This window comes from Homo sapiens, chromosome 8 (genome assembly GCF_000001405.40).
Source record: "Homo sapiens chromosome 8, GRCh38.p14 Primary Assembly".
NCBI lineage: Eukaryota > Metazoa > Chordata > Mammalia > Primates > Hominidae > Homo > Homo sapiens.
Window position 1 is genome coordinate 133419496 of NC_000008.11, and position 17223 is coordinate 133436718.

At 45.6% G+C, this 17223-nt stretch overlaps 1 annotated feature.

Annotated features, from left to right (window-relative positions):
• Nucleotides 3223–3722: an enhancer, noted in NCBI's record as "H3K4me1 hESC enhancer chr8:134434961-134435460 (GRCh37/hg19 assembly coordinates)". NCBI's record gives its function as "activates a minimal SCP1, AML or CMV promoter by ChIP-STARR-seq in primed H9 embryonic stem cells {active_cell/tissue: H9 hESC(primed)}" and the evidence as "EXISTENCE:reporter gene assay evidence [ECO:0000049][PMID:30033119]".

Genomic DNA, 17223 nt, shown 5'->3' on the forward strand with positions numbered 1-17223 from the left:
CTCTACCTGGAACATTTTTCCCAACCTTCTCTTATTTTGCCTTTTTAACTCCTACTCAACTTTACTCAGTTTAGGCATTGCCTCTTCCAGGAAGTCTTGCCTGACTTCACACTCTGGGTAACTAGGTATCCTGCTAATGTGCCTCCTTCAACCACATCTCCTCCTATTCCTGATAATTTTTCTATCCTGATGCTTATCACACTTAATGTAATTTGTTTTTGTTCAACTTTCAATTCTTTTAGAAGCTGAACTACTCAAGATAGGGATTATGTCTTTTATGCACTTGTGTTCTGAACAGAGTGCCAAGAAGATAAATAGACAAGTGTTTATTGAATAGAGACATGATGAATGGAAGGACTGAGAATGAATGAATTGAAGAATGGATGGGTAAACAGTTGAACAGGTGGAAAAATAAGTGGGTAGACGGATGATGAATTAAAGAGTGACTAGATAGTTGAATGAACAGATGGATGAATGGACATTTGGAAGGAAAGATGTTGAAATTAAAGAATAGACAGATTAGTTAATTGCATGTACATATGTATGTATTGTAATAAAATGGTTTGAAAGATTGTGAGAATTACCAAAATGTGACACAGAGACACAAAGTGAGCACATGCTGTGGAAAATGGTGCTAATAGACTTGCTCAACACAAACCTTCAATTTGTAAAAAAACTCAGTATCTGTGAAGCACAACACTGCAAAGTGCAATGAAACGATGAATGCCTATATGTATTTTGGATAAAGAATAGACGGATGGAGAGTTGGATGGATAGATGATGAATTAAAGAATGAATGTGTAGATAGTTGAATGCATGAGTGAATGGATGGAAGGCAGTCAATGAGCTGGTCTCTTGTGCAGTGTCACCGTTTACAATGCAGGGTCCATTCTATCATTGCCAATGGGAAACCTCACAGTGTCACACCATGCTCTCAACCTTCCATCTTCTCTCCATCACCTAGTAGATCAAGTCCAAGCTCTTTCTTGTGCCATATCATGTGCTCTATGACCTCGTTTCCGCCTTCCTCTCTAAGTTCTTTTCTCAGAGCAACTCCTGCCCCTGACTCAGCATCGTATATAACAGAATCTACATGCTCTAAGCTACACTCCCTCACATGGCCTTTAACAGGCATCTTCTGATCTTTATGCTTCTGCTTTCTGTACTTGGAACTTACTTCTCTCCCAGGTCTCTTTCTCTCATCCTTTTGTTCCTTGTTTCTTTATATAGAATTACATCTTTGCCCCTCCAATTCCTCAGCTTGCCTATTTGTTTACCTGTTTGTCATTGGCGCTACCCTGTGAATTCCTTCAGAAAACAGGCTTAGATTTTATTCAACTCAGAGTAAGACACTGCACCTGGCAAAATGTAGGCACTCAATAAATATGTGTTAAAACATAATAGTATGACAAGGTAGAGTAATGGCCCCTAAAGATGTTCATGACCTAATCCCCAGAACCTGTGAATATGTTACTTTACATGGAAAAGGGACTTTGCAGGTGTTATTAGGTTAAGGATTTTTTTTTTTTTTTTTTTTTTTTTGAGATGGAGTCTCACTCTGTCACCCAGGCTGGAATGCAGTGGTGTGATCTTGGCTCACTGCAAGCTCTGCCTCCCAGGTTCACACCATTCTTCTGCCTCAGCCTCCCAAGTAGCTGGGACTACAGGTGCCTGCCACCATGCACCACTAATTTTTTGTAGTTTTTAGTAGAGACAGGGTTTCACCATGTTATCCAGGATGGTCTCAATTTCCTGACCTCATGATCCGCTCGCCTCAGCCTCCCAAAGTGCTGGGATTATAGGCATGAGCCACTGCGCCCGGCCAGGTTAAGGATTTTAAGACAGGGAGATTGCCCTGAAGTATCTAGGTGGGACAAGGGTAATCACAAGGGTCCTAAAGTGTTAGAAGAAGGAGGCAGAAGAGCCAGTAAAGATGTGATGATGGAAGCAGATGTCAGAAAGATGTGATTGTTGACTTTGAGGATGGAGGAAGGGCCACCAGCCAAGGAGTGCAGGCAGCTTCTAGAAACCGGAAAAGGCAAGGAATCGAAATTTCCCCAAGGCTTCCAGAAGGAGTGTAGCCCTGTTGACACCTTGATGTTTGCCCATTGAGTTCCATTGAGTGTGCCTGACCCCTAGGTCTGTAAGATAATAAGGCCCCCAGGACTGTAAGATAATAAGTTCATGCTGTTTTAAGGCACTAAATTTGTGGTTGTTGCAGCAGCAATTGGAAACCAACGCAAATGGTAACAGCTCACATTTTTGGAGGGGAGGGGTTGATGACTGAGGCAGAGCTAAGATATTGTCTTTCTTTATGCTTCAACAATTATATGTGCAGCTTTTACATAAGATATTAGAAAATTGGATCAATTTTCCTAAGGATTTTTAAAGAACTTTTAAAAGACATTCCATTTACCAGTTAATATCCCCTGTGCCGTATGAGCCAATGCGATGTTGGATGTTTAAAATGACCAAAACTCAGTTGCTCAGTCCTAGGCCGTCTTGCCAACTGAACAATTGTTATTATACCACATCCACAGTTTCTGGCAGCTAAATGCTGCAAGTGAGAAGATGTTCACTAAATCTTCTGGAACAGCTAACAGTGATTGAAGCCTTCCTACATGCCTCCACTGTGTTCCGCACATTGCGTTCAGCTCCTGGAGGCTGAAGGAAGTGATGTCACTGTCACCTGGATAGTAAGTGGCAGGTGGGGATTGGAACACAGGCAGTTTGGCTCCAGAGCCCCAGCTCTTAGTCTCACCCCTGAATAAAAGAAATCTAGAAACCTGCATCTCTGTGATCCAGAGACTCACCGGCTGGCTAATTTAGGATCAATTCTGAAGGAGAATCTAGAATGCTCCTAGGACCTTCCTTAATCCAGGCCCCAGAAGCAAGAATCTCTTCCTCCTCTTCCACATTTTTTCATCTTCTCTTCTCCTTCCTTCCTCACAAGGAAGCCATCAGCACTAAGGAAAACAGGCTTCATGGGAGCCAAGTGAGCTGGGAGGCAGCTCCCTGAGCCAGCCAGGCCGCATGGCTGCCTCTTCCTCAAGGCTCCCCCTCTCCTGCCCCATCCAAGCCTCCCACAGAGGAAAGGAGGTGGTGGGGTGCCAAGTCAGCCTCAGGTTCTAGCCAGGTGGGCTGTGGCTTTTCCCAGAAACCTCTGTGCTGTGCCAGATTCTTCTGGAATCTGCCTGCCCACTCTGCCAGGTGAAGTTCCATGCTGCTGCACTGATCTGCCTCCCTGGAGCAGGCAGCATGAGGCAGGGTGCTGAGACCCAGCAGCTCGGGGCAGACCGTCCAGACTCAGCGGCCAAGGCCCTCTCCAAAGTCAGTGCTTGAGGTCTACATCGTTGGCTCCCACGGGCACAAAAGACAGCAAGAGGAAATGTGAATGGTTCAGGAATTAATGGAAAAAGATTTCCCCCACTAGCAGTCAAAGAAACATATTGCTTACCTAGCAAATTCCCAAAGTTAAAAAAAATGCTAGTACTCATCACTCTTGAAGTTCCTGGAACACGTTTCTTACAATTCAACTTAGCCTTATGTATTCCTTTATAAACTTCTTATCCTCTGAGCCCCTAATTCTACTTCTAGGGACTCATAATAAAAAGAAAAAAAAACAGACATCTGGACAATTATTAATGTTGAAAAATCATCATTGTTGTGTTATCTATAAGAATAGAAAATAAGCAGCAATACAAATGTCAAACATCAGGGGGTGAAATAATTCTATATGATGCTATGTTAAAGAGACTAACTAGAAAATGAAAGTTTTGTAATATGTTGTTAACACGACACCTTTTTTCTGATGAAGGATTATGTGAAAATAAGAAGATTCAAATATGTATGAATCTACATGATTCAATAAGAATACACACACATGCACATATGTACATATACATGGGTGTACACACACACATGTTTTTTAAAGAATACATGAGAATGTTAAGCATGGTTATCCCTGTAACTGGGTTGTAATTTTTTTTTTTTTTTGTGATGGAGTCTCACTCTGTTGCCCAGGATGGAATGCAGTGATGTGTTCTTGGCTCACTGCAACCTCTGCCTCCAGGGTTCAAGCAATTCTCTGCCTCAGGCTCCCGAGTAGCCGGGATTACAGGTGCCTGCCACCACACCCAGCTAATTTTTGTATTTTTAGTAGAGACTTGGCCAGGCTGGTCTTGAACTCCTGACCTTGTGATCCACCTGCCTTGGCCTCCCACAGTGCTGGGATTACAGGCGTGAGCCACCGCTCCCAGCCTGGGTTGTAATTTTTAATTTTCTCCTTATAATTATCTGTGTTTTCCAAAATAACATTACATTAAGTTTATGTTACATTTAAATCAGAATAAATATAGGTGTTCTTTTTTTAACCTGCCTCTGAGCTATATTGTCTCACTCATTCATTACATTGACCAAGTGCCTACTATGTGGTAAGCACTCATAAAATCGGGAGTTACAGAGACAATTAAGGTCTGGTGTGAGTTCCTTCCAGGAGCTGTCAGATTTGTGGAGGAGGTGAAAGCCGTGGCTGGCCCAGTCACACAGAGCCTTTAGTGAACCACCTTTTTAAGGAAAGGTCTTAGGATGAAAACAGGTCTGTCTGCAGAGCTCTACCAACAGCTGCATCTTCAGCAATCAGCCTCCAGTGTGGCACTGACCTCACCTCCGCACAGGTTTCCAACATGCCTTCCTGGAAAGGGCTCCAGGCCTCTCAGGAGGTCGGTCATAGTTTTGAAAACAAAGCTGACCAACAATAGACAAAAGCATTTTCTGGCTCCGCTTTTCAGGAGCCTGGTCCCAACTCTGGAGATTCAGATCTCACTCCACAATGGACCCTCACAAACCCCTCCCTTACATTCCACATCAGGTTGGCCTGGCCTGGCCTCACAGGGCAGCCCCTATTCTCCCAAGGCACCAGACTCCTTCCCTCTTCCTTCCAGCCATGGAGACTGTGCTTTTCTAAAAGGTTGGGTCTCGCACAGTTGAGAGCACAGTTTTGGAGCTGGAAACCTGAGTTCGAATTTCAGCTTCATCACTCACAAGTTACGTGGTTTAATAACTATGCAGATTGCTAAACTCCCTAAAGCTCAGTTTCCTAATTTGAAACATAGAGGTAATGCAATGACTCTCTCAAAGACTGGATTGTGAGAGCATTCATCAGATGTGTATTACCAAGTTCTTTATGTGGGTGGGCCTGGTACAGAGGGGAAGAGGCTGTACTGGGAAACCACACTCTGCGAAAGAAGAAAAAACCCCTGATTTTTAGCCTTTGCCAATTCTCATGCTGTAAATACTCCCACTCAGGCCAATTTCAAGCTACCAAAGTTTAACTGGTTGGCAAGAGTCCTGCGTATTTGACAATCAGCTTTTGGGATCTCTATAAACATCAGCACACCATTTGTCCCAAGAAGACAAACTTGGTCCTGGTCTTCATGGAGTTCATGATTCAATAGGAGGAAACCAGTTTGTGCCATTTGTGTAATTGCTTAATATATACCTGTCTTACCTCTAGCCTGGAAGCTCTGTGATGGCAGGGACAATTTATTTTTTAAGAAAACATATTCTTGCTATGTCATCCTCAGCCCTAACAGATTGTATGTACCTTATAATATGTGTTGAATAAATGAATGTCTTTAGTAACAAACATAATAATCAGAAGTTGAGTTAAGAGCTGAGATCAAGAGTGATATGGTTTGGCTGTGTCCCCCCCGCCACCCAAATCTCATCTTGAACTGTAACTCCCATAAGCCCACATATCGAGGGAGGGACCTGGTGGGAGGTAATTGAATCATGGGGGCAGGTTTTTCCCATGCTGTTCTCGTAATAGTGAATATGTCTCAGGAGATCTTATGGTTTTATAAAGGGAAGTTCTGGCTGGGCGCAGTGGGTCATGCCTGTAATCCCAGCATTTTGGGAGGCTGAGGCAGGTGGATTGCTTGAGGTCAGGAGTTTGAGACCATCCTGGCCAATATGGCGAAACCTGGTCTCTACTAAAAATACAAAAATTAGCCAGGCATGGTGGCTCATGCTTGTACTCCCAGCTACTCGGGAGGCTGAGAATAACTTGAACCCAGGAGGCAGAGGTTGCAGTGAGCCAAGATCGTGCCACTGCACTCCAGCCTGGGCAACAGAGTGAGACCCTGTCTGAATAAATAAATAAATAAATAAATAAATAAATAAATAGCAGTTCCCCTGCACATGCTCTCTTGCCTGCTGCCATGTAAGACATGCCTTTCCTCCTCCTTTGCCTTCCACCATGAATGTGAGGCCTCCCCAGCCATGTGGAACTGTGAGTTCATTAAACCTCTTTTTCTTTATAAATTCCCCAGTCTTAGGTATGTCCTCATAGCAGTATGAAAATGAACTAATACAAAAAGTAATAGGAATAACTATTTGAAATAGGTGGACTCTTTAAAGAAGAGATATTTAAGAATGAAGTGACACCATATAGCACAATGGACATAGCACAATGTCCACTATATGGAAAGTGCTTAATAACTCAGTACATGGTACTTAATATTTCCCTTGCTTTGTTCTTTGGACCAAATCTTACTACTATCTCAGCTCAAATGATTTGTCACTTTCTGGCACAGTACCCTCCTACTTCCTATCCTCACAATCACCCCCTGTGAGACCCCCACAGTGGCTCTGCCATAGCTTCCTGGAGGTGTTGATGTCTTTTCCTGCCCTTGGCCTTGGTTGCTAAGTCAAGGCATCTTCATATTCCCACGTATGAGCTCTGGAATAATTCTGGCTGCCAGTGCCCAGCATGGACTATGGGGCCTTCTTTCCATCAGGGGTGGTTGGGGAGCCTGAAGACACTGGAGAGAAGCCTGTTAGGTTAAAACTGGTGGGGTTGAGGTTGCAGGTTGGCTCTGGTTATGAAGAACTGCTCAGATTCCTGGCTAATACCTTGGGCAAGTCCTCATTCCCTGAGAGCTCAGTTTTTTAGTCTGTAGGATGAAGGTTTAGACTCATTCATGTCTGAGCCTTCTTCCAAGCTTTAACATGTTCCAATTACATGAGTGGATACTCTACGAAATGTCCTTGATGTTTTCAAACTTCTGGACCTGGAGAATAAGCTGTGAGTCCTTGTGACCCATCAGCTCCACTGCTCTCTTGCCCTCATGGCTCCTGGCTCCCCAGTGGTCAGCTGCCCTGGAGTATCCTGGTAGCTCCCTGTGGCTCAGTTGGATCTCAGGCCACTGAAGGTGGCCATCTTTGTCAATTTTTCTTAATGTCAGAGGCATTTGAACAGAGTGACTCCATCTTGAATAGGGGCTGGGTAAAATAAGGCTGAGACCTACTGGGCTGCATTCCCAGTAAGTTAGGCATTCTAAGTCACAGGATGAGATTGGAAGTTAGCATAAGAAACAGGTCATAATGACCTTGCTGATAAAACAGGTTGCAGTAAAGGAGCTGGCCAAAACCTGCCGAAACCAGGATGGCAAAAAGAGTGACCTCTGGTCATCCTCAATGCTCATTATACACTAATTATAATGTATTAGCATGCTAAAAGACACTCCCACCAGCGCCATGACAGTTTACAAATGCCATGGCAACATCAGGAAATTACCATATATGGTCTACAAAGGGGAAGAGCCCTCAATTCCAGGAGTTGCCCACCCCTTTCCCAGAAAACTCATGAACAACCCACTCCTTGTTTAGCTTATAATCAAGAAGTAACAAGAAGTATCTTTAGGCCAGCAGCTCAAGCTGCTGCTCTGCCTATGGAGTAGCCATTCTTTATTCCTTTACTTTCTTAATAAACTTGCTTTCACTTTACTCTATGGACTTGCCCTGAATTCTTTCTTGCACAAGATCCAAAAACCCTCTCTTAGCACCCAGATTGGGACCCCTTTTCTGGTACCATTAATGCTCCACATGCAGAAGTCCAATTTCTGCTGAGATGCTTCTATTTATGGGGAGCTCCCTGCCATACAGAATAAAGTTTTCCATTGTTGGGGGGCTCTGAGAGCATGGGCAAAGGCAATGAAGCTGGAGAGAAAAGGGGGCCAACTTCTTACTAAGCCCTTAGGAGGTGCCAGTCACACTGGACACAGCTCTCTGGAAGTCATCTCACCAAATCTTCCTAACAATCTTGGTGTCAGAGGCATTTGAACCAGAGCAACTCCATCTTGAATAGGGGCTGGGTAAAATGAGGCTGAGACCTCCTGGGCTGCATTTCCAGACAGTTAAGGCATTCTTAGTCACAGCATGAGTGAGATAGGAGGTAGGCACAAGATACGGGTCATAAAGACCTTGCTGATAATTGCAGTAAAGTAGCCAGCTAAATCCCAACAAAACCAAGATGGCAATGAGAGTGACTTCTGTTTATCCTCACTGCTACATTCCCACCAGTTCCATGACAGTTTACAAATGCCATGGCAACATCAGGAAGTTACCCTATATATATATCATCAAAAACAACCATAAAAATGGGCAACAGCAGCCCTCAGGGCTGCTCTGACTATGGAGCAGCCATTCCTTATTCCTTTTTCTTTTTTCTTTTTTTGAGATGGAATTTCACTCTGTCCCCCAGGCTAAAGTGCAGAGGTGCCATCTCCACTCACTGCAACCTCTGTCTCCCAGGTTCAAGCGATTCTCCTGTCCAAGCCTCTGGAGTAGCTGGAACTACAGGCGCACACCACCAATATTTGTGTTTTTAGTAGAGATGGGATCTCACCGTGTTGGCCAGGCTGGCCTCAAACTCCTGATGTCAGGTGATCTGCCCACCTTGGCCTCCCAAAGTGCTGGGATTATAGGCATGAACCACCGCTTTAACTTTACTCGATGGACTCGCCCTGAATTCTTTCTTGTGTGAGATCCAAGAAACTTCCCTTGGGGTCTGGATCTGGACCCTTTTCTGGTAACATTGGGAGGCATGACTAATCATCCTCCTTTTAGAGATGAGAACATTGAGGCTCGGAGACACTGGGTCACTTGCTGGAGGATGTACATCAGGGATGCCTGAGCCTGAGCACCTTGCCTTGTGCCACATGCTGGTCGGGACACAAAGCCCAACCTGATTTCACTGGGAGGGCAACTTCTGCACCACTCTCACCTTAAGCATGCCCCCAGCCACTCTATGCTTCTCTCTTAGACACCCTGGGTCTCTGGGAGCCCTTGGGAGAAAACTCTCACCACCTTTATCTACACCCACGGACTCAGAGGAAGATTTTCAATTATTGAATACTTACTAAGTGCTAAAAAAAAAAAAATCTCACATCTGCTTTGCTCCATTGTATCACATGTCCCTTAAGACAGGTTGCAGAGTTTATGGTTAATAAGTAAACCATACTTGTTATTGAGTGGACAAAGTCACGTCTCTTGCAGAGTTGGAAGTGGAGGCGCTAAGAGGCTGGTTGACATTCCCATCCCACAGTGGATAAGGAAAGCTGGGACTTGAATCCAAGGCTAGCTGGCTCAGGGCTCAGGACCCTGTCCCCAGAGGGAGCCACACATCCTCAATCGCATCAAATTTACCCCTGAACCCCTACCCCCAAACCCTGAGCTCAAAGTCCCCAGGGAGATTAAGGCTAATCAGCTGTGTTTATAAAAGGCAGGTATAGAAGCCTCCGGACCCTGGTTACTCATTACATTGTACTAAATGCTGATATCGCAAACTCTCATAAATAGGCCAAAGGGTAGTAAGTCACCAAAAGGCCAAGCCAGACAAACAAGAGCCTTGCTGGATAACCAAGGCCCTGCCTTCCAGGCCTGCCAGCTGCCCAGCAGCCATGGAGGGGCCAAAACTACTGCCTCTGCCAAGGTGGCCAAGCATCAAAGGCTGGGCTTGTTTGCTAGGCGTCGCTCATCAGGAATCTGAAAACCTGGCAGCCGAAAGGAGCCCTTGACTTTGGTGCCAACTCCCAGAGCCTCTTAAAGGCCCCATTGCTGGGTGACTTTAGGAAAGTTGTCTCTGAGTCCTGCTTTCTCTGACGCCATGTGGCTCACTGAGGGGAAATGGAGAAACGCGCTTTCCTCCTGCCTTCCTCAGGGACATCTGGGGGGCTTGACTGTCTTCTCTCCCACTGGACTCAGGGCCTCAGCTGCCACCACTGCTCTGGTCCTCAGGCTGGATGGAAGTCAGGGCCATTGGTGACATTCTTTGGTGCCCCCAAGATAAGCCCACTATTGTTCTTGGCTTCAAATTTTTCATGAATAATTTTTGTGGAGAAACAGAGAGAGGGGAAGGAGAATGACTGCCAGAGGAAACAAACAACCACTAAAAAAAGTTCTGGATATTCCCCCTGTCACTGTCTTGGTTGCTGGGTGTATGAGTTTGCTATGGGGATTGTTGCAAATAACCACAAACTCAGTGGCTTAAAACAACATGAATTTGTTATTGTAAAGTTCTAGAGGTCAGAAGCCTAAAATGCATCTCCATGGGCTTAAATCGAGGCAGGACTGCATTTGTTCTGGAGGCTCCAGAGGAGAATCCATTTCCTTGCTCCTTCCAGCTTCTGGGGGGCTGCCATCATTCTTTGGCTCAGGGCCCCACACCACTCCATCATTACATCTCCTTATCTGCCTCCCTCTTATAAGGACCCTTGTGATGACATTGGGCCCACTCAGATAATCGAGGGTAGTATCTCCACCTTGAGATACTTAATTTAATCACATCTGCAAAATCCCTTTTGTAATGCAGGGTAACCTATTCCCAGATTCTGGAGTTTAGGACATGGGGGCCATTATTCAGCAAACCACAGTGGCTGGAGCTCTTTCTGCAGTGATCATAGACAGACCCTTTGTCCCAAAGGTCACCAAGCTTCCCAATGACCCAAAAGCACAGGCATCCCAGACTTCTTTTTTGGGGCTCTCTCCCCATGGCTCAGGGAGTAGGCACTGGAGACCCCTCCCTCAGGAAGGCAGGGTGCACCTTTTAGCCTCCAGGTGCGGAGGTTCTCATGCTGCCAGGCTTTGGGCCTTCAGCAATAACCCTGTGGCCACTTCTCCACCCTTAGATCCTGATGGAGCTTTGGTTTCTGTTCTCAACCACATTTCCCCTCCTGGGCTTGGGTCTGAAATCAGACTTGACTGTGCCAAGGTCATGTGTGATTATAGACTCCTTCTAACCCTCCATTTCTTCATAGGCATGAAAAAGCCCAGTATCATCTCTTTCCTAAGCTGTTGTGAGGATGGACTGAAATGATGGCCATATAACTCAGATACCTGTGAAGGTTTCCTTGGCCCTTGGAATCAGGATATTTGAAAAACACAGCTCAGATACCAGTACTCCCCTGCTTTAAATCCTGCAGTGGCTTCCCATAGCACTTAAAATTAAGACCTAAATGCCCCTCCTGTAGCCTGTGGGAACTGCATGATCTGACCACTGCCTACCTCTGTAATCTCACCCAAAATCATCCTCTCTTTGGCTTACCAGGCACCAGTCACACTGAGCTATTTCTTGTTCCCTGAACACACCGAACTATGATTGTCTTCTTCAAGTTTCTGTTGCTATAAAAGAATACCACAGACTGGTAATTTACAAAGAAAAGAAGTTTATTTCTTACAGTTCTGGAGGCTGGGAAGTCCAAGGGCATTGAGCTAGGATCTGGTGAGGGTTATTCCAAGGCAGAAGGCAGAAGACAGAAGGCAGAAGGGAGAGAGGAGGCAAGACGGAGAAAAACAGGGGCCAAACTTTTACAGCAACTCACTCACTCCCATGATAGCAACATTAATCTATTCATGAGGGCTACCACTATCACAGTAGCACCAAGTTCCCAACATAGGGGCTTCTGAGGGACACATTTAAACCATAGCAAAGTCCCAATTCTGAGATTTGTCCTTGTTTTCCTTTGATTCTAGAACACTCTTCCCCCAAAAATTTGAATAGCTGTCTAATTCCTCTCCAGATCTCAGCCCAAATCCCACGTCCTCAAACAGTCTTGACCTGGCCATTCAATATGAATTAGTTATCCCAATATGAATTAGTATTCCCAGTCTTGATACCTCCTTGATTTCCTTCATAGCATTTGTCTCATTCCTTCTCCTCCTCCTCATCCTCCTGGGCACCCTGCTGGACCACATTTCAAGCCTTGTTTGCAGTGAGGTGTGGGTGGCTTTATGACGATGCCCCAGTCAATGGTATGTGGGTGAGAGTAGTGTGGTCTGTTTTGAGTACTGGTTTGAAAAAAATCTTCCACATTGTCCTCTGTGCTCTCTCTACTCCTGTCTGTAAGGGCAGGCACAGAGAATTCAGTGAGGACTAGATGTTCTTAGCCAATTGTGGAGTCATGAGATAGTGGAGCCTGTACCCCCACATCAAGGAAGACCTCCTAATAAACCCCCATATTGAGTTTCTGTCTGAGGAAAAAAAATGTATTTTCATTGTGTTAAGCCACTGAGATTTTGCAGGTGTCAGCCAACCTGACATTTTTATTTGTATTATATTTTCTTACTGTTGTATTGCCAGTCTTTTCCTACTAAAGTAGAACCTCCATGAAGCCAGTCCCTGGCTATTTTTGCCCCTATTGATGCCTCAGCAACTAGCACAGTCTCTGGTGCACAACCAAAGCTTGCTGAATGAATGAATAAATGAATGTTCTATGGAGTTCTATGTTCTATGGAGATCCAAAGCCCACCTCAAGTGTCTGCTCATTTCTGAGGACTTGGGTTCAAGGGCTCAGGGTTCTGGCACTTTGCTTTTCTTCCTGTTGAATTCATTAATTTTCAGTGTCATCATTCCATCTTTATTTACATTATGATAAGTCAGGCATAAGACTCCATCCCTTTCTGTGACTGACACACACACACACACACACACACACACACACACACACACACACAGCATCCCAAGGCCTTTGTGTGTGTGCAGGATCCTTGGCTAAAGGTGGAAGGCAGAGGAGAGCCTTCACTCCATAGCTATGTCTACACATGCAACAACCTATTTTTTTTTTTTACTTTGTTTATGTATTTATTTCCTAAGACAGGGTCTCCCTCTATTACCCAAGCTGGAGTGTAGTGACACCATTACCACTCACTGTGGGCTTGATCTCCTGGTCTCAGCCATTCTTCCATCTCAGCCTCCTGAGCATCTGGGACCTCAGGTGCAGACCACCACACCTGGCTATTTTTTTTTCTTTTTGGAGATAGAGTCTCACGACGTTGCCCAGGCTGGTCTCAAACTCCTGGGCCCAAGCAGTCCTCCTGTCTTACTCTCCCAAAGTACTGGGATCCCAGGCATGAACAACAATGCTCAGCAATGACCCATTTTTAAATGTCTAGGGCCACCTCTTATCTCGCCCAGGCTGTTTTCACTGCCATTCCCTCCACATTTTGTTCTAATGGCATGCTAGTTTTCTGGGTTTCCTCTTCTTCTTCTGCCTCTCCTCTATTCCATATTATGCTTTTTGACTCAACAAAAGTTGCAACCATATATCCCATCTCACATGCTCTTCTACCATGTAACTCTGCCATGCTCCCAACCAGAGTGGCAGTTTCTGCCTCGCCCCTGGACTACTCAGCCTGCGACGGCTCCACCCCAGCAGGGCATGGAGAGAGTAATTATGTTCCCTGCAAAGCAGCTTCCACCTCCTCCACTGGACGCTGCTTTTGGAAACCTGAGCTGACAGGTGAGAGGTTCGACTCCCCTGAGCCACAGTACTGTGAGGAAGTCTTGATCACCTGGAGAGGTTGTGACAGATGCTCTGGTCACCAGCCCTGAATGAAGCCCCATCTGTAAAAACCAAAAGTGCCATCTGTAAAAACCGAAAATAGCAGGCCCGAGGTGCCTGCTATTGAGTCACCCCAATTGGTTGAGTCTTCCCAGTTGAGGTCCCAGACACCCTGGAGCAGAGGCGAGCCACCCCTGCCATGCACTGTCCCAGTTCCTGACCCACAGAATTCGTGAGCACAATAAAATAGTTGTTTTATGTCACTAAGTTTTAGGATCTTTGCTCCACAGCAATATATCAACAGGAACATCTCTTCCCTGCTCTCTCAGAGGCAAAGAAAAAATTCCCTTCATTTTCCTCAGCAGAGCTGTGCAGTCGGTTCTTTCGTTGTCTCAGTCCCTGCCCTCAGGGTCTCACATTCTACCCCAAGTGGCTTGTGAAGGTATTTTCTTAAACAAAGCTTGGAGGTGCTCTGATGCCAGCAATTAAGATAACAAAGTGTTTTATCTCTGCCAAGTTTTTTAGTACTTTGCACATAAGACGCTTAATGAATGTTGGTTTTAAATTCCGTATTCTTCTTTGAACTCATGGGGAGTGGGAAGGTGAGTAGAAGGCTGGAATAGGGAATAATCTGAGGATTCCAGAAATATGCATTGGCTCACATTGAACTCAGCATCTGTAGCAAGTAGGATCCAGCAATCAAAGAGCTTCTACTGAAAGTTTAATAGAGGAAATTTAATCCAGAGAATTAGGTTCAATGGTATTGGAAGAACTGAGAAGCCTTTTATGTAGGGTTGCCAGATAAAATACAGAATTGCCAGTTAAATTTGCATTTCGGATAAACAATGATTTTTTTTACATGAAACTGTATGTCCCGTGTAATATTTGGAAATAGGTTTGTTGTTTATCTGAAATGCAAATTTAACTGGGCTTCCTGTGTTTCTATTTGCTAATTTTGGTAACCCTACTCACAAGGAGGACATTGAGACAACTGAGAGGTTAGAACAGCAGGAAGCTTCCTTTGCTGGGGCTGGAGGATGCGGTGTTAGCATCCCAGGGTTAATAGAGCTAGAACCCCAGGAGGGGCTGCCTGGCAGAGGCTGGGACCAGGGAGGAGGTGCAGCCACTGCAGAGATGCTGCCTGAAGACCAGCAAGAGGGGAAAATGCCCAAACTCCTTCCTTCCTCCTGCCCTCATCTCTTCTCTCAGTGTCTCCTATTGGTTGAACCCAGCCACAAGCCATTGGCAAGGAGCTTGGGAAATGTAGTTTGCAGAAGTCAGGCCTCTGGGACCCAGGCAGAGCAGGACAAGGGCACAGTGTCTATCCTGTAAGTGTCACTATATTTACCAAAAATGTGATATCAGACTTCCACAGCCATTTCTTGAGCTCTCCCAATATTTGTGGCTCCATATTAAGCAAACTCTATTACTTCCCTCAATCCTTAACCAAATGAGGAAGGCACTATTTTTCCCCCCATTTTACAGGTGAGGACGTTGAGTCTCAGATAAATTAAGAAATGTTTCCCAAGGCCGGGAGCGGTGGCTCATGCCTATAATTCTAGCACTTTGGGAGGCCAAGGTGGCTGGATCACCTGAGATCAGGAGTTCAAGACCAGCCTTGCCAACATGGTGAAACCCTGTCTCTACTAAAAATATAAAAATTAGCCAGGCGTGGTGGCAGGCCCCTGTAATCCCAGCTACTCGGGAAGCTGAGGCAGGAGAATCACTTGAACCCAGGAGTCAGAGGCTGTGGTGAGCCGAGATCACGCCATTGCACTCCAACCTGGGTGACAAGAGCGAAACTCCATCTCAAAAAATAAAAAAATAAAATAAATAAAAGAAATTTGCCCCAAATCTCACATAAAATGTATATGGTGGGGTCAGGTCTTTGCTGCACCAGCAGGGGGTGATTCAGCATGGTGGGCAGGCCGGGGAAGGTTAGAAGTCAGAGACCCATGGAAAGCATCCATTCATCATAGGGTGCTGGGTCTACAAATGACACTGCCCTGATCCATGGTGCCCATGCGCTTTGGCTGATGCTGTACCTGAAATGCCGTCTAGTGCTCTCCCTTCTTAAAGGTATTACTTTCTTTCCAACATTCAGATCATACACATTGGCAGCCAAGCACGGTAGAAAACAGCAAAGCATAGTATAATAGCCAAGAGCTTGAACTCTAGAGTCAGATGTCCAGGTCAAATCCAGCTCTGTCATTTGCTACTACTCTGTCATCACAGAGCTAGTCAATTACTAGTAATTGACTAGCTCTGTGACTCTGGGCAAGATACTAAAGCTTTCTGGGCCTCTTTTTTTTTGAGATGGATTATTGCTCTGTCCCCCAGGCTGGAGTGCAGTGGCGCGATGTTGGCTTACTGCAACCTCTGCCTCCTGGGTTCAAGCAATTCTCATGTCTCAGCCTCTGAGTAGCTGGGATACAGGCGCCCGCCAAAACATCTGGATAATTTTTGTATTTTTGATAGAGACAGGGCTTCACTATGTTGGCCAGCCTGGCCTTGAACTCCTGACCTCAAGTGATGTGCCTGCCTAGGCCTTCCAAAGTACTAGGATTACTGGCGTGAACAACCTCGCCTGTAATCCTTTCTGAGCCTCTTATTACTCATTTTTTACAGTGCAGCTGGTGATGCCAACTATAGTGTTGATGATGATGATGATTATGATGTCTATATGACAGGCAGGTCTGCCACGGACAGTCACGCAGGTTGTTCACCATTCAAGGGTGCCTCTGAGTGTCTGGGGCCAGCCACAGCCCTGCCCGTAGATGTGAAGGTTCAATAAATTCTTCCATATGAAGTCCTGGCCCAGTGCCTAGTCTGCACCCGACACATATTGGCTGTTACGCATATTACAGAAGAATCTAAGTGCAGGATAGTGTGTTAAGCATGGGGACACAAAGCTAAAAGTCCTTGTGTGTTGTATCATGGGGAGGTAAGAGGTGGCAGAGACCACACTATTTTAATGTCTTACACTGAGTTCTAACTTGGGCACTGTCATTAGTCTCAAGGTGGGCAGAGGACAGAAGGAACCAGCTCTGACTGAGGGGTGAACTGGCATTTCTATTATACTTCAACAAGGAGGAGTTGATCTTGTAGAGAGTGTGGGGAAGAGCATTAGAGGCAGAGAATAGCCGGGACAAAAGCACAGGGCACGGGAGACATACAAGTGGAGAGAGTGGTGAGATGTGGGGCACCGCAGGGGCGAGATGAGAAAAGCTGGCGATGTGAGCCACGGAGCTGGGAGAGGTTAGCAAGAGGCAAATATTGTGGATCTCACTAGGACCTCTGGCTTATCAAAGATTTCAAAGGTGGGAAGTTGCTTGTGCAGTGGTAGGAAGGACAGGAGGGAGCAGGCTGGAATGAATGACTCTCCTGATGCCTTTCTTTATCCCTGGATACCAACCCTGTTTTCCTCCTACTCCCCCACACCCTTGTCCACCCTCATCCTTCACTTTGCCACTCCTTGGACCCCTTGCCCTCAAATAGCACCCAAACTGGCAGGACACTGCATTCTGGAGCTTCCCTGCCCAGCCTGATCCCTTCAAAACATATGTGAACTCTATTCTCAACCCTCTGTGCCCTGCTAGGG